Source organism: Homo sapiens, chromosome 22 (genome assembly GCF_000001405.40).
Source record: "Homo sapiens chromosome 22, GRCh38.p14 Primary Assembly".
Classification (NCBI taxonomy): domain Eukaryota; kingdom Metazoa; phylum Chordata; class Mammalia; order Primates; family Hominidae; genus Homo; species Homo sapiens.
The window spans coordinates 34,008,481-34,030,313 of NC_000022.11; the positions used below are offsets into that span (position 1 = coordinate 34,008,481).

The 21,833-nt window shown below is 40.7% G+C and overlaps 1 long non-coding RNA gene across 22 annotated transcripts in view, besides 1 other annotated feature; it reads left to right on the forward strand.

Moving 5' to 3' along the window:
* Nucleotides 7,082-7,645: an enhancer, noted in NCBI's record as "OCT4-NANOG hESC enhancer chr22:34411551-34412114 (GRCh37/hg19 assembly coordinates)". NCBI's record gives its function as "activates a minimal SCP1, AML or CMV promoter by ChIP-STARR-seq in primed H9 embryonic stem cells {active_cell/tissue: H9 hESC(primed)}" and the evidence as "EXISTENCE:reporter gene assay evidence [ECO:0000049][PMID:30033119]".
* The window catches only part of LINC01643 (long intergenic non-protein coding RNA 1643), a 201,365-nt gene continuing 188,483 nt past the window's right edge, over nt 8,952-21,833 (forward strand). For all 22 annotated transcript variants that reach the window (NR_183602.1, NR_183600.1, NR_183601.1 and 19 more), the window contains exon 1: nt 8,952-9,047. This is a non-coding gene — a long non-coding RNA (long intergenic non-protein coding RNA 1643). The remainder of the gene's footprint in view (nt 9,048-21,833) is intronic.

Consider the following 21,833-nt stretch of genomic DNA (forward strand, 5'->3'; position numbering starts at 1 on the left):
CCCCATGATGTAACTCATGGTGGCATTTGCTGTGCAGCAAGGCAACAACGAATAGTGGAAGAGACACCAGATTCAGAATCACAGGGTCTGAATTGAAATGCCAGCCAGCTCTGCCACAGACTAATTTTGTAACCCTAGGCAAACAAGCTGACTCTTAAAAATTGATATAAACTCATACATGAAAATAAATATTTAGAATATAGTAATAATGTATAAAGGACAATAAGCTGAGTACAACCACTCAGATCATCATCACCAATACCTCCAAAGACACCTGTGAATCCTTTCCTCCTCTTATCCCTCCCCACTGTCTGCTCTGTGCCATCCTCCTCCTCCCCCTTGAAGTTTAAATTTATCATTCCTTGCAAGTAAGCTTTTTTTTTTTTTTTTTTTTTTTGAGATGGAGTCTCGCTCTCTCGGCAGGCTGGAGTGCAGTGGCGTGATCTCGGCTCACTGCAACCTCTGCCTCCTGGGTTCAAGTAATTCTCTGCCTCAACTTCCCGAGTAGCTGGGATTACAGGTGCCTGCCACCATGTCTGGCTAATTTTTGTATTTTTAGTAGAGACGGGGTTTCACCATCTTGGCCAGGCAGGTCTTGAACTCCTGACCTCGTGATCCGCCTACTTCAGCCTTCCAAAGTGCTGAGATTACAGGCATGAGCCACAGCTCCTGGCTGCAAGTAAGCTTCTTAATCTCTCATACATTTGTTAAGAAGACTGAATGAACCTTGTGTATGGACAGTGCAATGCAGATGGCCAAGCCAGTTTTTAAATCTGTAATAATTATCTTGCTACAGACTGGAGACTCGACACCCACTCATTGCTTTTTTTGCAGCAAGACACCCCAATTTTAATAGTCAAGTGCATTTTATTTTCTTGCTGTGTGCCCCATTGCAGGGTGGCAACTCCTATAAGTCCCATCTCATCTGTTTTGGGGAACTGAGAAATCAAGTCAAAATTTTAAAAATTGTGTCTGAAGTGAACTGGCTCTCCTTTAGCCCAGGGTGTCCTGCTGGAGAAGATGGCATGAACTTCATCATCTGCTCTTAGGGACATTTGCCTCCATGGTTCAGAGGCCTCTGTTAATTCCTCAGATGTGGGCTGTGTGCTGAGGAGGACTGGCTCTCCATATTTAATCTTTCTTATGTTGCTACTCTACTTTCTCATGCAGCAAACCTTTATTGTGTGCCAAATATGTTCTACAGTTGACCCTCGAACTGCAAGGGTCCACTTATATGCACTTTTTTTTTTTTTTTGAGATGGAGTCTCGCTCTGTCACTCAGGCTGGTGTGCAGTGGCGTGATCTCGGCTCACTGCAACCTCTGCCTCCAGGGTTCACGTCATTCTCCTGCCTCAGCCTCCCGAGTAACGGGTACTACAGGCACCCACCACCACGCCTGGCTAATTTTTTTTTGGTTTTGTTTTTTGTTTTTTTAGTAGAGACGGGGTTTCACCATATTAGCCAGGATGGTCTTCATCTCCTGACCCCGTGATCTGCCCGCCTTGGCCTCCCAAATTGCTGAGATTACAGGCATGAGCCACTGCGCCCGGCCAGTATATGCACATTTTTTTTCCAACTAAATGACGATTGAAAATCAAGTATTCTTGGGATGGGAAAGTCCTGATAGGGAGGGCTGACTTTTTGTAGCTATGGTTCTTCAGGACCTACTTCAGGACTTGAGTAGCGGGAACTGTGGTATACACAGGGATCCTGGAACCAAGCCCCCATGTATACCAAAGGACAACTGTAGTTGGAAGTAGTTTTGAAGTACAGTTTTTTCCCCCAAGGAGCTCCTGGTTTTGTGGGGCAAGGGCATACATGGATAGTTATGCCACTGTGTACTCTGTGCATGTGCCAATTATGCTTCAGGTGCTTGGGGACAACAGGGGAAGAGGACTAAAGCTGAGTGGTTAAGCAGTGTTTCCCAAAAGGGATACCTGAGCTGGGTTCTGAAGGTAGAGTAGGAGTTGGCGAGGCCAAGATGGCGGGGATGGGCATGGGAAGCTGAAGAAATAGCAATGCAAAAATGTACTCCTCAAAGAGAACAGCGTGTTCCTCCCTGAGTCTTTCTCACCTTGGCCAGTGGTGCTTTTTCTTCCAGGATGCTGGACACTGAGGAGTCCTCCTGGGCATTGTTGCTTCCCTCATACTCCCTGTCAACACATCTTATGTGCAGTCACACTATCTTCCAAGGGACTCTCAGGACTTCCCCTTCTTTCCATATCTATGGGAACCATGCTTGCCAGCTACGCTCCCGCTTAGCCTTCTGGGATAGTCTCCTAACTGCTCTGCTCAAATCCATCTTTGCCCCCATCCGATCTATTCTCCATCAGCCAGAGTGAACTTTCTAACAGTAATCTGTGCACTCTTTTGCTTAAATCTTTCTTTTTTACTTTACTTTTCTTTTGAGATGGAGTTTCGCTCTTGTTGCCCAGGCTGGAGTGCAGTGGTACGATCTCTGCTCACTGCAACTTCCACCTCCTGGGTTCAAGCAATTCTCCTGCCTCAGCCTTCCGAGTAGCTGGGATTACAGGTGTGCACCACCATGCTCAGCTAATTTTGTATTTTTAGTTGATGCAGGGTTTCTCCATGTTGGTCAGGCTGGTCTCAAACTCCCAACCTCAGATGATCCGCCTGCCTTGGCCTCCCAAAGTGATGGAATTATAGGCGTGAGCCACCGTGCCTGGCCCTGCTTAAACCTTTCAAAGGCATCTTATAATCCTCAACATACCCTACTAACGTCTGTACTGCAGGCTTTGGGACCCTCATGGACAACCTCTACCCACCCTCCACTAGCACCTCCTGCCTCTCCTCTTGCTCTTCATAGCAGCTGTGCTGGCCATTTTCTCTGGTGTCTTTTGGGTTTTCTCTCTCTCTCTCCTCTTTTCAATGGGACATTATACATTTATTTGTTATGTGTGTAATTTAAGTCTCACAAAAGAAAATAATATGAAGAAGCAATATACAGAGATAATGTCTAAAACTAATAAAAGAAATTAAAACACAGATTGAAAGATTCTTTAAAATCCCAAGAAGGATGTATACGAAGAATATAGAAATTTGTCAGATGACCTAAAATTATGGCTGGCATGTAAACAGAAACAATGGAAGCCAAAAGGCAATGGAATGATACCATCAAAGTGCTTTTTAAAAATAAAGTAATTTCAACTTTTATTACAGATTAAAGGGTATACGTGTAGGTTTGTTACATGGGTAAATTGCATGATGCTGAGGCTTGGGGTTTCAATAATCCTGTCACCCAGGCAGTATGCTTACTTCCAGGTTTTCTCTTTGTCTTTGATTTGTCATCATGCTGGCAGTTTTTAAGCCCTCAAAAGCGTCCAGCTCATTCCTTTCTCAATATCTTAGCACCTGCTATCCACTCTGCTCCCACTTGCTGTCTGGCCAATTTACACTCAACTTTCAGGTCTCAGCTTAAGTACACTTTCCTCTGAGAAGTCTTCTCTGAGCCTCCATTATTTAAAAATTTCTTCTCCTAGCACATTGTAATTTTTCCTCCTACAGAACTTATCATAATTGGTAAATTAAGCATCTACATGTTTGTTTGTGTCTTTTACCACACTCTAAGTTCCAAGGAGGCAAAGATTATGGCTCATTCATCACTCTATACTCAATGTCTATCACAGTACACAGCACATAGTAGGTCTCAATATGTGCAAATTGGATGAATGGATAGAAGGAAGGAGAATCGTAGGGGAAACACATACATCTGGGTTAGAACAGTCGGGGAAGGTCTGTGTATTAGTTTCCTATTCATGCATAGCAGTTACCACAAATGTAGCAGCTTTAAACAACGCACCTTTTCTCACAGTTTTTGTGGGTCAGGAATCTGGCACAGCTTAGATGAGTTCCCTGCTCAGGTCTCAAAAGGCTACAATCAAGGTGTTGCCCACACTGTGGTTCTCATCTGGGGCTTAGAGTCCTCTTCCAAGTTCACTGTGGTTATTATTGTAATCAGTTACTGTGGTTGTAGGACAGGGTCTCAGCTACCTGATACTGCCTTTCTTTAGAGGCAGCTTACAATGTAGCTGTTTGCTTCCTTCTTTGATATTAGCAGGATAATCTCTCCGAGCATTGCTTTTTTCCTAAAATAAACTTTTAACTTAGAGTTGTTTGAGATTTATGAGAAAGTTAAAAGATAACACAGAGTTCCCATATATATCATACCCACTTTTCTCTATTATTAATGTCTCACATTAGTATGGTACATTCTCCAAAACTAGTGAACCAATATTAATGCATTATTATTAACTAAAATCCATACTTTATTCAGATTTCCTTAGGCTTTTTCCTAATATCCTTTCCTGTTCCTTGTTTTTGCATTGTTACATCTTTCTTACATTATAACTCCATTTGCTCATGCAGCAAGCTTTTCTTTTTTTAGAGACAGAGTCTCAATCTGTCACCCAGGCTGGAGTGTAGTGGTGGGATCTCAGCTCACTGCAAACTCCATCTCCTGGGTTCAAGCGATTCTCTTGCCTCAGCCTCCCAAATAGCTGGAATTACAGGTGTGCACTGCCACGCCTGGCTAATTTTTGTATTTTTAGTAGAGATGGAGTTTCATCATGTTGGCAAGGCTGGTCTCGAACTCCTGACCTCAGATGATCCACCCGCCTCAGTCTCCCAAAGTGTTGGGATTATAGGCATGAGCCACCGTGCCTGGCTCATGCAGCAAACTTTTATATCCAGGATGCCACGTTGTATTTATAGTTTATAATATATATTTACAAATGCAGTCAGCCCTCTGTATCCATGCGTTCCCCATCCTGAGATTCAATCAATCTTGGATCAAAAATATTTGGAAATAGAACAATAAAGTTAATAAAAATTAGAAAAACAATATGGTATAGCAACTATTTACATACCATTTATATTATATTAGGTATTATAAGTAATTTAGACATGATTTAATGTATGGGGAGGATGTCCATAGGTTATAGGTAAATACAGTTATCATTCAGGATCCTTGCAGGGATTTTGGTTCCAGGACCACCCGGGGATACCAAAATTCTGGGATACTCAAATCCCTGAGATAAAATGGCATAGTATTTATGTGTAAACTTATGCACATTCTCCTATATACTTTAAGTCATCTCTAGATTATTTATAATACCTAATACTATCTAAATGCTATGTAAATAGTTGTACTCTATTGTTTATGGACTAATGACAAGAAAAAAGTTTGTGCATGTTAAGTACAGACATAATTTTTTTTCAAATATTTTCTGTTTGCAGTTGGTTAAATTTATGGATGTGAAACCCATGGGTACAGAGGGCCGACTGTACTATGCCATTTTATGTAAGAAACTCAAGCATCTCTGAATTTTGGTATACAGGGTCCTGGAACCAATACCCTGTGGATACTGAGGGACAATTATAATTGAAGTCCTCTTTCACATAACACTACATCACTTCACAGGTTGTACATGTATCTTAACACAGTATTCCCAATTCCCTCCTTCCATCTCTTATGATATAGCAGTTATTTATTACACTTATTCATATGATATAATCATCATATATATTATTCTGGTTCTTTGTTCTTTATGCACATCCAGGTTTGTGACCTATATGATTTTCCTCCTGCCCGAAGAACTTATTTTAACACTTATTGTAGGGACATCTGTTAGTGATAAAAATCTTTCCCATTTTTTGTAGGGACATCTGTTAGTGATAAAAATCTTTCCCATTCGTTTGTCTGCGAAAGTCTTTAGTTCTTTATTTTCATAGATATAGATTTCTATGTTAGTGAGTTTGTTTCCTTTCAACTGTACATATTTTGCTTCACTCTCTTTTTGCTTGCATAATTTCTGATGCAAAGTCTCCTGTAATTCTTTTTGTTGTTTTTCTGTAAGTAAAGTGTATTTTCCTTGTGTCTTCTATCAAGATTATTCTATTTTCCTTTGGTTTTCTGCAGTTTGAATATGATACATCTAGATATTTTTGTTTTTACTATTACTGTTATTCTCTGGATCTATTGTTTTATGTTGTCATTAATTATGGAAAATTCTTAGCCATTATTACTTCAAATATTTTTTCTTCTCTATTCTTTTTATAGAAATAGTACTCCAATTATACATATGTTACACCTTTTGATGTTGTCCCACAGTTCTTGAATGCTGTGTTCTGTTTCTATATTTTGTTTTTGTTTTTCCTCTTTGTATTTTATTTTGGGAAGTTTCTATTGACTTATCTTCCAGTTCCCTGATTCTTTTATTGGCTATGTTGAGTCTACTGATGAACCCACTGAAGTCATTCTTTATTTCTGGTACTGTGTTTTTTGGTTTTAGCATTCATTTCATTGATTGTATTTTAGAGTCTCTGCTTATATTACCCATCTATTCTTGAATGTTGTCTCCTTTTCCCATAATATATTAATCATGGTTATTTTAAATTCTCTGTCAGATCATTCTAACATCATATCTGAATTTGATTCTGATGATTGTTTTATCTCTTCACTGTTTTTTCTTGCTTTTTGGCATACCTTGTCATTTTTTTGTTGAAGGCCAGACATATTGAGTGAGGTAACAGGACTTGGGGTAAATAATCTTGCTAGAAGTTGAGCTCTGTTTAATGTTTGTTGTCACTATACTGCCAGAGGCTTCAAAAATCTCCAGTGTCTCCCTTCTTTAATTGTGACTGAATTTTTCTCTTCAGAGAGGATCTGTGTTGCAGGTCTTTCACCTATGAACTGCTGTCATTTTACTGGAGCCCTGTTAGTATAGTGGTAAGGAATGAGTAAAGGGGAACATTCTACAGCCTTCCAGTTAAATCTGTCTTCCAGTGAGCTTGTGTCTTAGAGCTGTGATCTTCACAAGTATTTCTCCAGTCATATAGCTTTTTATTTTTGCCACATCTCCAGTGTTCTTATTTCTTTGAAGCCCTGACCTCTGCTGACTTTCTTTCTTTCTTTTCTCTTTTCTTTTTTTTTTTTTTTTTTTTTGAGATGGAGTTTCACTCTTTCACCCAGGCTGGAGTGAAGGTGGCACAATCTCGACTCACTGCAACCTCCGCCTCCCGGGTTCAAGCCAATTCTCCTGCCTCAGCCTCCCGAGTGGCTGGGACTACAGGGATGCGCCACCAAGCCTGGCTAATTTTTGTATTTTTAGTAGAGATGGGGTTTCACCATGTTGGCCAGGCTGCTCTTGAACTCCTGACCTCAGTTAATCCACCTGCCTTGGCCTCCCAAAGTGCTAGGATTACAGATGTGAGCCACCAAGCCCCGGACCTGCTGACTTTGTTTCTTTTCTTCTTAGGTGAGATGCTGAAGAGGACTGGAATGGGAAGAATTCTTTTCCCTCCAGCTGGATGGCTCTGGAACTTCTCCTGAAGTGTAGCCTTTGTTATGGAAAAGATTAGTCTAGTTGTATTTCTAAAGGATTACTCTTCCTCTCCTCCTACCAGAGCCAGAAAGAGGATCTTTCTTGAATCTCGTAAACTTGGGAAGGTTCCTGGAGGTAAAGTTCACAAATGTGGCAGACCCTGTAAGAATGTGGCTCCTAGGAGTTTCTCACTCACGGCTGTCTACACTCAAGCTCCAGCAATTTGCCAAAACTCCCACTTGAGTCTTCCTACCAGTTTATGATTCCAGAGGTTTCTGCTCTAGGTAAGCAGATCTCATCTGTGTTTCTCTGGACAAGACTGTCTCTCCAGATTTTAGAACAGCAGTTTTTCCCACCTCTTCAGTTCTCTTATGGATCCAATAACTTTATTAATTTTTAGGTTGTCCAGTTTGTTTCATAGTATAAGGGTGGGACAATTTCTAAGCTCTTTATGTGTCTAAGCTGAAACTGGTAGCCCAGTATTAAACTCCTTTGAAGGAGTTTACCTGATTGGGTCAGGCCCTCTCTGGATAAGCTCCCTTTGGATAAACCTAATCTCAGGAGAGATGTTTCACTGTAGTCATAGGTACCACCCACACTTGAGAAGAGGGGGTTCTACAAGGTGTGTGCACTGGGGCTGCAATGTTGAGAGACTGTCTTTGAATTCTGCCTACCACAGCTTGCTGGAGGAGGTGATACCTGAATTTAATTCCAAAGGATGAGTGAAATGAGCTGACCTAAAAGATGGGAAAAGCATGCAAAGCAGAAGGAACAGCATGTGCAAATAAATAAGAAAGAACACAGCATAGATGTTAGCAAGATCCAGATGCTATGCCCAAAGAGATCCAACTGTGTCCATTAAATATGTTCAGTTTTTAAACTATTATCAATTATACCTCAATAAAACTTATAAAAAGGATCCATATGCTGACTTCCTTTACTTTGGGGTCGCATCTTGAGATGAGAAATTTCCTCTGGAGCTCACTTTGAAGAAACAGATAGCTAACCAGCAAGAATTAAATATAAAGAACTCTCTCCATTGACCAAGAGAATCTTGGATTATTAACTCTGAACGTCAGCATGGCGGGGTCACCTCCAGGGATGTTCTAGGTAAGCACGTTTCTTGTATTTGTGGTGGCTGGGTTGATGGATATGGTTATTTCCTTCCAGAAATGTTGCCACCTTAACTCTAATGAACTATAGCTTTAATGAACAAGGTCTTTCCACAGAAGTGTTGTGTCTCTTCAATTATGTCTTGTTAAGCAAACCTTTTCCTTATTTTCTTTCCCCAAACAAAAAGGTAAAAAAAAAAAGAAAAGGAAAAAAAACCCCAAAAACCAAAAACTCTACAACTTTTTTTTTTTTTAATCCAGGGGAAAGGAGTTGGAATAATTATAGATTGTTTCCCTCTTGTAATTATATAAATGTTATTCTTTGTGTGGACTGTCCTTTCACTGGACATTTTTTTAATCAAAGATGTTTACATTTCTGCAACACATTTGAAACAAACGAAGCAGCCATCCTGCAGGGAAATGGCATTGATGGTTGCCATGGGAACTGTGTGAAGTCACGGAAAGTAGATTATCTCATAATGCATTACCCAGTGTCAGAAACAGGCAGCCTGACTAGAGAACAAACTACCAATTAACGAGCGAGGAAACAGGGCCAGAGAATTGGAACAAAATACAAGGCTGCCTCTGAAAGGTCATGTTCAAGCTAATTTATTGGTTATTTTGCTCTACCCAAACCCAATTATTCTGATTGATTTCCACCCATATAAATCTACTGTAACCAGTTCAGACTTCTGTATGAAGAATATCCAGAAAAGTAGAATTTTATATTTTGGAGAAATTTTCAGGATTAGTTTTTTTTTTTTTTTTAAATCCTTTTGCTCACTCAGTGACATTTTTCAGTTATTATCTTTGTATTTATGAAAACATTTGGGCGGCAGTACATGTAATTAAAGGTGTGAGTTCTAGCATCAAATTGTTTGAGTAAGAATTCCAGCTTTACCTCTTTTTAGTTTTTCGGTTTTGTACAAATAACTATGCCTCTAAGCCTTGGCTTCCTTGATTTTAAAGTGGGAATAATAATACCATCTATTTCTATATCTTGTAGGCTTATTTTGTGGATTAAATGAAACTAATCCAAACAAAGAGCATAATGCCTGTGTTTTATAAGGGTTTGGTGGTGTTTATCTAAAGAAGGTATCCAGATTTTCTACATTAAATGAGGCCTGTTTTTGCAAAGTCAGGAATTAAAAAAAAAAAAAAAGCTCATCTTGTTAAAAAAAGAAAAAGAGAGAAAAATATGTGTTGATTACAAAGTCTAACTTCAACTGTCATCAAAATCACCTAGAGAGCTTTATCAAACCGTAGGTTTTAGGGGCCCACTCCAGACCTACTGATGAGAATCTCTTGGTACGGGGCACAGATACGTGCATTCTAAATGACCTCCCTGAGTAAGTCTGTTTCAAATTAGCCAGCCTAAGAATCCCTTGTCTCCTAAGAGTCATTTGGTTAAAATGTGTCCATTGGAACGCATTTTTCTAAATCCCATTTTCTGGGTTTGGTCAGCTCATGCGGGGTGCTGCCTGGGTAATGAAAATTTTAACAGGCCTTTAAGGTGATTCTGATGCAGGTAGTACGAAAAGTATAAAGTATAAAAAAGAGTCTCTCCAGGTCCTTTTCCCACTCAACCTCACTTTACCACTTGGAAAAAGAGGCTCTCATGATGTTCACAGCTGCTTAGGAGTATGGATGGTTTTTCACAGGAAGAACAAAGAGGCTAAAACTTCTTTCTTACATGTAGAAAGCTGTTCTCTCTATCTCTTTGGTAACCCAGGCTGCTTCCTTTCCTCTACTTTCCTTATAAGGCCAAATAGAAACCAGGCTGGAGGCCAGGCGTGGTGGCTTATGCCTGTGATCTCAGCACTTTGGGAGGCCGAGGCGGGTAGATCACAAAGTCAAGAGATCGAGATCATCCCAGCCAACATGGTGAAACACTATCTCTACTAAAAATACAAAAATTAGCTGGGTGTGGTGGCACATGCCTGTAATCCCAGCTACTTGGGAGGCTGAGGCAGGAGAATCTCTTGAACCCGGGAGGCAGAGGTTGCAGTGAGACGAGATCACACCACTGCACTCCAGCCTGGAGGCAGAGCAAGGCTCCATCTCAAAAAAAAAAAAAAAAAAAAAAAGACGAAAGGAACCAGGCTGTGACCACTGGGAAGGAAGCCCCCCATGAGTGGTTTAGCCACTTCTATTCTCAGTGAGGAAAAAAACATCCCCTTTGGACTTGTTCTTCTTCATCTCCTTTAGTTACTGGAATTGAGAGAGTCAAGGAAATGATGTGCTGGCTTAACAACTGGGTCTCAGAAAAACATATACACACACAAACAAGCCCTGATTTGTAGCCCTTGCTGATTCCCATGGTGTAAATACACCAACCTACGGCTGATTTCAAGCTGACAACCATGACGTTACTGTACACAGATGTCGGAAGAGACAGGGACAATCTGTTCTCCTGAGCCAATCCAAGCCAGCTCCAGTACATCTCTGGGCCATATCAGATGACTAGATTGTGGACCCATTAGAAATAAAGCCACAAAGGAACAGGCCACGTGACTGAGGTCACCTAGCCTTGGCCTTAAGCCGGAGGGACAGGTGAGGGTCTTCCTTACTGATGTGTGACTCAGCTCAGTTTCCCAGGGTAGACAACCACAAAAAAAAAAGTGTAAATAAATTTCTTTGCAAACGCTGCCTTCAGTAGGTTGGTAGTTGCTGCTCGGGGTGCTGTGTAGAAGGATGCAGAGGCCCTCTGTTGGCCTCACAGGATGATTACTAGGATCCCTAGTGAGGTTTGAAGTGAACACGGAAGAGAGGAGTGAAGGCACATGTGTTTGCCATCTGTGTTGTGGGGATTCCATTCACTCATTCATTCAGAGAATACTGAGTTTCCATTAAGTTTCAGGCACTGTTCTAGGCACTGAAAGTAAAGGGAAGAGTGAGATAAAGTTCATGCGGAGTTTTGTGGGATTGGGCCTAAAGCTCTAATTAGTAATAAGAATTTCCCATCTGCATGCAGTTTTTATACCTAAATAGGTAGTTTGCCAAGAATTCAAGGGTCTTATTCAAATAGCTTTCCATTAGAAAAATGAATGAATTCAGTATTGAGAGAGGCTCTAGGTCAAGACCCATCTCTGGAAGGAAGAAAAGGAAATGAAAGTACAACTGTAGGAGAGGAATAAAGAATACCTGTTCTGTCAAAGAAGATGCATCCAATGATATTTCATTTTCAGGAAGGAATGAATGAATAGACAAATAACTTAATATATTTTCAGTTGTGGGCATTTCCTATGCGAAGACAAAAACTCTGTGGTCTAGCTAATGCATGTGGGGCTTAATACCTAGATGATGGGTTGATAGGTGCAGCAAACCACCATGGCACACCTTTACCTATATAACAAACCTGCACATCTTGCACATGTATCCCGGAACTTAAAATTAAAAAAAAAAAAACAATTCTGTGATCTTACACACAGAGATAAGTTGGTTCTGTAGAAAGATGCAAAGATTTTGAAGACTGATAGGAATGGATTTGAATTCTACTTCTGCCACGTTCTTAATTTTCCTTCAGCAAATGTGTACTGAATGCCTATTTTCTGCCATGTCCTATACTAGGTACTGGGAAGCATAGGGGAGTAAGATCCTGCCCTCTCTTTAGGGAGCTCATGGTCTATTTAAGAGCTGTGTGAGAGGTGTAGGGCAAGATAGTGAACTTCACCAACTTAATGCGTAAAATGCATATAATAACTTTTTTTTGAGATGGGGTCTTACTCTGTCACTCAGGCTGGAGTTCAGTGGTGCAATCTTGGTTCACTGTAACCTCCACCTCCCGCGTTCAAGTGATTCTACTGCCTCAGCTTCCCGAGTAGCTGGGATTACAGGCACATGCCACCATGCCCAACTAATTTTTGTGTTTTTTTGTAGAGACGGGGTTTTGCCTCGTTGGCCAGGCTGGTCTCGAACTCCTGGCCTCAGGTGATCCACCCGTCTTGGCGTATAATAACATTTCTGATGTGCAAATGCTGCCTTCTGCATTCTTCTAATAATACTATTTAAGGGCATGGGGGATTGGATGAGACAATGCAAAAAAACAAAACTAGTGCCTAGAGACACCCAACGTACATTGGTTTCTTTGTCCATGTTCCATTCCATGTTTCCTTTATAGCTGTTGGAGGTTAGGGCCACTCACGTGATGTGTTCTCTGCCTGCTCCTCTAATCTGGTCAAAATAAAAATCAAGAGCAGCCTCAGGAGGAAAATAACTCACAAAAATGCAACATGGGGTTGGAGGAGTTGGCCTGATGTCTGGAGGCTCTTTCTCATGTGATTTGCTTCACCTGATTCTAAGTCCACCTTACCTTGGCAACCATAAATTTTACCCTAAAAATCCACTTACATTTCAGTTGTTCAGGACTTGAAATAGTTTCTCCACAAAGAGGATGTTTTAATTGGTTTGAGGGCGACCCACATGAAGTTGACATGCAATTTCATCTAACTTATAAGTTCTAGAGGTTCCCTGAACCCCAGGCTTCCATGAATATTGAGTTATCAGGGGACACTAGGCTGAGATTCAAGAACCTGGCCCTGGGTAGCATGAGTGGAAGCTCTCTCTGCAACAGCCAGAGATGGTAGTGCTGATCAACTCATTATCAATATAAAATGATAATTAGTAATGGTAATATATTAGAGATGGTCTCTATGTAAGCTTCACACGTTTTGCTATCTTTTCCCTCTTGCTTTCTCTCTCTGTTTTTTTTTTTTTTTTGAGATGGAGTCTTGCTCTGTTGCCCAGGCTGGAGGGCAGTGGTGCCATCTCCACTCATTGCAACCTCTGCCTCCCAGGTTCAAGCTAGTCTCCTGCCTCAGCCTCCCCAGTAGCTGGGACTGCAGGCATGGACCACCATGCCCAGCTAATTTTTTTTGTATTTTTAGTGGAGACAGGATTTCACCATGTTGGCCAGGCTGGTCTTGAACTCCTGACCTTGTGATCTGCCTGCCTTGGCCTCCCAAAGTGCTGGGATTACCGGTGTGAGCCACCGTGCCCAGCCTTGCTCTCTCTTTTTAAAAGCAGATTCTTCTCTTCTCCCTTCATTGCCAAGTCATCTGCCAGCTGGTTGGATCCTGGAGAAGTGGAGTAGTTTTGGGGAAGACAGTGGGATCAGGGAAAAAAGGGAATGGAAAGGATGGGAAAGGGGCAAGTGAAAGGGGGAGTAGGGTGGGGAAGACTTGAATTATTGAACATTAAGGAAGGCATTTGTATTGATTTTCATCTCATCCATAGAGAGGTAGCAAATGTAGTGGGTGATGGAATTTTGTCTTTCCTCTCTTCCTTCTAATACCACATGTGAAAGTGTAAATTCTAGGGTCACTTTGTGCCCATCTAGTGGAACCAGTAGATTTCCAGCTGGCTGTGTGTATGCATGCATTTAGATGCTCTGAGCATGTGATTCAGGGAAGACTGATGTCTCTACACTCTAAAGCCTTTATTTATTTACTTGCACATGACATATTTAATTCCAAGGTGCTCAAGGCATTTTTGCAAGCATTAAATTAACTGTTAATCCTCTCTCTGTATATATAAAGCAGTGAAAAAAGTCTTTTATTATAAAACTTTGTGGACTAAATCTGAAAAACAGACTTAACAGGAATAAGGATAATTAAGGGGGATGAAAAGAGAAAGACGCAATAGGAAAAGGAGACCCGAATGAAAAGAAAAGCCTTCTGTGGCTCCCCGCCAAGGATGGAAACCTCTGGGAGATTTTCTCTTCAGCCTGGGACCAAGCCAGCCATCCAGCATTCCAGGTGGTGACTCTGTATGTGTGTTTCTAGGTTTATCTAGTAGCTACCTAACCTGGGGTAAGGTACGTCCCCACGTGAACACTAAATTTCCATAGCTTTAAAATGGGGATTACAACAGTATCTACCCCATAGATTTATAGTGAAGAACACACAGTAGGGATGCAATATGTGTTACCTGAATTATCATCATCACCATCATCATCATCCATAAACATCAAGCAGATTTCTGTCTTGATCACTGTTGGCAAAGGGATTGTTTTGCCCCAGCCAAAATTGTGTCTGAAAACTCCCAATGATAGATATCACAGAAATGTCTGCAATTTGCCACATCTCCCTATATCAATACCCTTGACAGTGTGACTTTTCAGTTCCTCCTATGGGGTGGATTCTACTTACTTACATCTTGAAGATGGATTTTGCGACTTGCTTTGGCCATGAGAATACAAAAGAAGTGACATTGTTCCAGTTCTAAGTCTAGACCTCAAGTGGCCTTGCATGCTTTGATTTGTTCTCCTGGAAAGTTGTCCTGCCATCATGAGAACAGATCCAGGCTAACCTTCTGATGATGAGAGAGGTGTGGTCCAGCAGTCCTCAGCACCCCAGCTGACAGTCATCCTAGATTGATCAGTCCTCAGCCACCTGCAAGATGACCGCAGACACAGGAGTGAGAAGGTTGATACAGGCTGTGCCCAGCCCAGATTAGCAGGGCCACCCATTTTACCTGTAAATCCATGAGCAATAAAAAATGATGGCTGTCTTGAACTGAGAAGTTTTGAGAGTGTTTTTTTATGCAGCAATACCTAATTGCTACCACCCTCTTTTCAGGTTTACTTTTTATTTACTTACTTATTTGAGATGGGATCTTGCTAAGTTGCCGTAGGGAGGGTTGGTGGGAAGGTTGGTGGAAGCCACATAAAGAAATTCCTTCAGTATCTCTAGAATTGTCACTGCTATGGTCTTAATGTATTTTCCAAAATTCATTTGCTGGAATTTGATTTTCAATGTGATAGTGTTAAAAGGTGAGGGCTTTAGGACATGATAAAGTCACGAAGACAGGCCCTCATGGATGGAGTTATTGTCATTATAAAAGGGCTTGAAGGGGCTGGCCCATTCTTTTTGCCCCTTCCATCTTCTGCCATGTGAAGACACAGCAAGATAAATGACCCAGGCTCAGGTATTTTGTTATAGCAGCGTGAACAGACTGAGACAGACACCTATCTGTCTTTGTTCACTCAGGCTGCTGTAGCTAAATGCTATAGACTGGGTGGCTTGTAAACAACAGAAATTTATGTCTCACAGCTCGAGAGGCCTGGAAATCCATAGCATGTTGTGTGACCAGTGAGGGCCCTCTTCCTGGATCACCAATGGACTTCCTCTTGCTGTGTCCTCACATGGTGAAAGGGGCAAGTGAGCTCTCTGGAGTCGTTTTTATAGGGGCACTAATCCCATTCATGAAGGCTTCACCCTCATACTCTAATCACCTACCAAAGGCCTCACCTCCTAATACCACCACGTTGGTGATTAGGTTTCAGTGTATGAAACCTAATATGGGATGGGGGCACAGACATTTCATCCATATCATTATCTCTCCACTTTCTCAACCTTCCCTCTCATCTCCTTCTTCTAGTCTCGCCTACCCCCTTCCTCATCTCCCACTCTCCAATCCATTCTCCTGTCAGAACAACTTTTTTCTGACATGTAAATCTTGTTCTGTTGCTCTCCTACTTCAAATCCATTGTGGACTTTCCATTGCTCTCAGAACAAAGCCAGAACTCATAGCATGGGACATAACACTCTCTATGGCAATCTCTCCTCTGTCTCCCACCTGTTATGTATCTGCCTGTGCCTCCCACTTGTTACCTAAGATCTAGCTGTGGCTTTTGGAGTCTCTGGGGAGCCCAGGCACAGGTTTATCCTTCCTCTTCTGGGTTTTGAACACCGTGAGAGAAACAACCCAAAGGAATCAGAATACCAAAATATCACCTCTCACGGTGATAAGAGCTAAGTTAGATGACACAACTTGTGTGAGTAGCATGGACCCACTAGCTGAATTCCTTGAACTGGGCAAGTTATCCATCCAGCCACAGGCAGTGCAGGCTCAGGGAATCTTCAACCAGTAAATATTAAATGCATGACATGAACATGCATAGAACTTCCACTCTTTGCATGTAATTTGCTCCCAAGAAAATAAGGGAGATCTATTTTATATTCTTTCCAAATTTACCAATCAGATAAGTCAGTCCACCTCCCCTGGGATGGAGTGAGTAAAGGGTGGAGAAATGCCATCTGAAAGACTTCAGGAGAAGGGGTGATGTATCCCCCTATCAGTATTGAACACTCATGGTCCTCTGAACACACTCTGCCGCTTGTCTCATATCACTGTGTGTTTGAATATGCTGGTGCTTCTGACTGGAACACTCTCATCTGCCCACTCCTTGTCTATCCCCATTTGTTTAACCCACTCCTACTTAGTCTTTAGAACACTCTCCTGAAAATTAAGTGAGAACTATTAGTTGACCCTCTAGGAAGTGTCTGGAAATTAAGAGCCCTTTAATAATTTCTTATTGAACACATGGAAGTGGTATTTGACCTTGACCTTGATCGAAGGGTTAGATCCGGACAAGTAAGCTTGGACAGTAGAGAAGAGGCTTGAAGAATTTTTTTAGGCAGAGAGGATCTCTCGAGCAAATTCAGATATGAGAAATACATACTGAGTGTGGTTGGTTTGGCTAAAGCACGGACCATACAAAGAGAAGTTTGTTACATCAAGTTAGAAAAGTTGGTTAAAGCTAGATTGTGAAGGGTTTTGAACGTCAGGCTAAATAATTTGGTAGGCAGTAAAGAGCCATTAAAGAATTCAAGCAGATTAGTGCAATCAATAATATATTCCTGACATTTAGGCAGAAAGTGTCTAGTTTTGCCAATTGGCAAGTTTTTCACCTGTTGAGATGAGTTTTAGCTACATCCCTATGTGATTTTTCTCAGCACAGCACCTTGGATTGCTAATAATTTGTTTCAAATCACATTCACTTAAAAAGAAGTAGAGAGGGTAGTAGAGAAATAGATGCATGAGAAATTCCTGTAATTCAAAATAGACAAGTTTTTCTTCCTCTTCCTCTTCCTTCTCCTCCTCCTCCTCCTCATCTTCTTCCTCTTCCTCCTCTTCCTCTTCCCCTTCCCCTCCTTCTCCTTCTCCTTCTTCTTCTCCTTCTTCTTCTCCTTCTCCTTCTCCTCCTCCTCCTCCTTCTTCTTCTTCTTTTCTCTCTCTCTCTCTTTCCCTTCTTTGTGGGTGTCCTGGGGAAAAGAGTACTCTTTTATTTGGTGATGAACAAATGTAAATCTCCAATGTTGGTGAAGAAAAGTTAAGAGAAGTTTGTTTGTACTCTCCTGGTTTATACTATAAGCTACCAAGTGGGGGGTCCAGTTAGAAAAGTTTCTCTAATTTACTGTTGGTTGGTCGGCAGCAGCTCCGACAGCTTGGGAATTGACTTCCTCAACCATGCTCAACTCACAGCTGCACTTCAAGTTGTTATAAAATGACCTTGAGGTGAAGTCGTCATGGGCTCTGAAGACCACACCAGTCCTTTGATGTTACTAGATTAGTGATGCAGGCAGCTCTGTGGAAGTCAAGAGGGAGAATGCAATGAAGGAAGACTTGGGAGGAGACCCAATGTGATAGATTAATTACATTAATGGTTCGTATTCCTTTCTCCTCCCTATATCCACACGGTAACCATGTAACTTCGTAGCGCGCTCCCACTCTGAATCTCATGCTGGGTTTAGCCATGTTACATGCTTTGACCAATGGGATGTTAGCTAATGTGACTCAGGCTGAAATTTCAAAAAACTTTTATGTGATTGGAACTGCTTTTGCGCCTTGGCTATCACCATGAGAACATTCTTGGGCTCACCTTTGGGAAGATGAGAGAAATATGGTTGTTCAGTTACTCCAACCAGAACCATCCTAGAGTAGCTGACAAGTAGACAACTCTTACATATGTGGGCAAGTCCACACAGCTGAGTCCAGACAGAGTCAGAAGAGCTGCCTACCTGAACATGACAGATGTGCAAATGCTAAATGCTATTATTGTATGCTACTGAGGTTTTGTGGTTGTGTGTTACATGGCATTATTGTGACCATAGATAACTGATACAGCCAATGACTATAGTTGGTGTGGGAAAGGGACATTTGCAGAGTTGGGAAAACACCCAGGAGTTTCATGCCCTATGGCTGTGGCACTCACACCTGAATGAGTCTCTCTGCTTCCCTTCTTGTCTTGCTATAGCAGGTGCTATTTTCCTTTTTCCCTAAAGTTTTAATTTTTAAAGTTGAAGTTATACCTTTATCAAAGTTGAGAGGGAGACTATAGCATAGTGTATATTCTTGGGTTCACAAATAGCATTTGCAGGATCTATAAACTAGGATGGGAAAATACTGCATTTTTCTTTTCACTAATGTCTCCCCACAATTTACTCTTGAATACAGGCAGCCGAATAATACATGGTTGTGTTAGCAGTACCTGAGAGACTTTGTCAAGAATAGAAACTGATATTTTTATACTCCATTAGTGTTATTGCTCATGGCTACTTTGGAATTGTGGTAGATAGTAGACCTATCACTGAAACTTGCTGTTACTGGGATAACAAGGAAGCACATATATTGTCATATTGCATTTTAAAATATTTTGATAACTCTTATGGAGATACAATTAGTTTCTACTGTAACTCTATGGGCTTTTAATGTGTTCAACATTTGAAACAAAGGAGATCCTAGGCTTCACCGGAATGCCAAGGGGTAAAGGCTTAGAAAATTTTAAGAACCCCTGGTAGAGTGATTGAGAGTGGTCACACTAGATCCAGTCTGCTGGATTATACTCCAGCTCTGCTGCTTACGAGCCCTGTAATCATACAGTAATTACTTAACCCCTCTGAGCCTCAGTTGTCTCATCTGGAAAATAGAAATAATAATAGGGAAAAACTTGTAGAATTGCTGTAAAACTAAATGAGTATAATGTGTGCAGACTGCTTAACACAGTACATGGCTCAACACAAGTGTCCATATCTTTCGTATCTTTAGCTCTAGTAAAATATTATTCTTCATGCATATTGTTTAAAGGGTTGAATAGTTGTACAAGCTTTCTTGCATAAAACACCAATTCTCTGCCCCTTTTGTCCAGCTTTCCTTTCCCCAGAAAAAATACTTACAATTTTTTAATTGACAATTTTGATGTTTACTTTTCCGTAACTAAGAAACTACCTTGTATAGCTACTTGTTGATTTTTCAGTTTTAGACATTATCTAAGAATTGGTTCCACCAGACGTGCATTTTTTTTTTTTTTGAGACAGAGTTTCACTCTGTTTCTCATGCTGGAGTGCTATGCTGTAATCATGGCTCACTGCAGCCTCAACCTTCTGGGGTCCAGCGATCTTCCTGCCTCAGTCTTCTGAGTGCCTGGGACTATAGGCACATGCCAGCATGCCTGGAATATTTATTTATTTATTGTAGAGACAGGGTCTTGCTCCGTTGCCCAGGCTGGTTTTGAACTCTCCGGCTCAAGTGATTCTCTTGCCTCGGCCTCTCATAGTGCTGGGATTATAGGCATGAGCCACTGAGCCTGGCCAAGATGTGCATATCCTTGCCATACTTTCATCCTCCTAATCAACATCATGATTTTGATTAGATCAATATTGTTTGTTTATATTATCATGACTGTGTAAATGCTATTCACAGCTGAGCAATGTGGTACATTATGATTACTTTTCCTTTCCTGTAAACTTGGTTTTCCCTGGAGCTATTGATTGTCTTGTTTTTCTTTTAAATTTCTTTGTTCTCATCAGTAATTGAATCTAGTCTTTTCCGTTTGTCTAAATTTCTTCTTTTCTCAAGACATAAAGATGTTTTGGTTATTTTCTACCTATTTAATATTTGTGAGTAATATACACTGAGCCTCTAGGCCTGTTCCACCATAGATTACTAGCCCTTTTATTCTTAGAGCACAGATCTCATCTTGTAATATTCCTTATCAGTCATTCTGGGGATTCTTTTCACCTGTCTCCTGCGGACTATCTCTTATTTCTAATATCCTGTATCTTCTCTGTGGGTTACACTTTCTACTTTGTGGTTCATATTTTCTAGTAGTTTCTTGGGAAAGGAGTTAGAATTTTAAAAAAGGATTCGCATGTCTGAAAAATAATTAACTTTATTGACTCTTGATTGATATGTTAGCTAGGTATAGAATGCTACCTTGAAAATAAATTTTCTAATGAGTTTTAAAGACATTCTGTTCCCCTAAATTGCCACTGCCTTCTAGTATCTGGTGTTGTTATTAAGAAGCCTGAAGATTTTTTTTTTTTTTTGAGATGGAGTCTTGCTCTTGTTGCCTAGGCTGGAGAGCAGTGGTGTGATCTCGGCCCACTGCAACCTCTGCCCCACCAGGTTCAAGCAATTCTCTGCCTCAGCCTCCTGAGTAGCTAGGATTACAGGTACCCACCACCACGCCTGGCTAATTTTTTTGTGTTTTTAGTACAGACAGGGTTTCAGCTGATCTTGAACTCCTGACCTCATGATCCACCCGCCTTAGCCTTCCAAAGTGCTGGGATTACAGAGGTGAACCACTGTGCTTGGCCTGAAGACTTTTTGATTATTTGTCTTTCGTATGTGTTCTTTTTTGCCCATTCTGTCTTGAGAACTTAAAGGATCTCTTTATCTCTGGTGTTCTAAAATTTCATGATTATGTCATTTGATTTGGGTTTATTTTCATCCATTTGTGTGGGCATTCAATAAATTTTCAAATCTGAAAAAATATGCTATTTCTATATATTCTTGAATTATTTTTAGATGCCTCTCTTTAATTTTTTTTTGTTCTCCTTTTCCAGGACTTTTAAAAGATTACATGTCATCACCATGTAATGTGTACATATGGTGGTATAATTATGACTTTGTCATATACTTCGATGACATTGGCAATTAAAAAAATTTTTGTTGTATAAATTTAAGGTGTACAACATGATTTTTTGATATACATATGTATAGTGGAATAATTGCTATAGGTGAGCAATTTAACATATCCATTATCTGACATAGTTACCTTATTCTTTGGTGGTAAGGCCACCTAAATTCTACTCTTTTAGTATAGTCCTCATGCAATACTGTAGACCTCTGTATTTACTCATTCTACATAACTGCAACTTTTTACTCTTAGACCTGCAACTCCCTATCCCCTTCACCCCTAGCTGCCTTTGATAATCACCATCTACCTTCTTTTTTCTGTGTATTGGAGAGTGTCTTCCTTTTTTCTAAAAAAAAAAAAAAAAAAAAATCACGTATAAGAGATATTATGCAGTATTTTTCTTTCTGTGTCTGGCTTATTTCACTTAACATAATCTCTTCCAGTTTCATCCATGTTGTCCCAAATAGTAGGATATCCTTCTTTTAAAGCTGAATTATATTCCATTGTATACATATACACCCCAATGTTTTCATCCATAAGAACATTTAGGTTGTTTTCGTATCTTGGCTATTGTGAATAATGCTGCAGTGAAGATGGGAGTGCAGATATCTCTTTGGTATATTGATTTCATTAACTTGGATATATACTCTTAAGAGGCATTGCTGGCTCGTATGG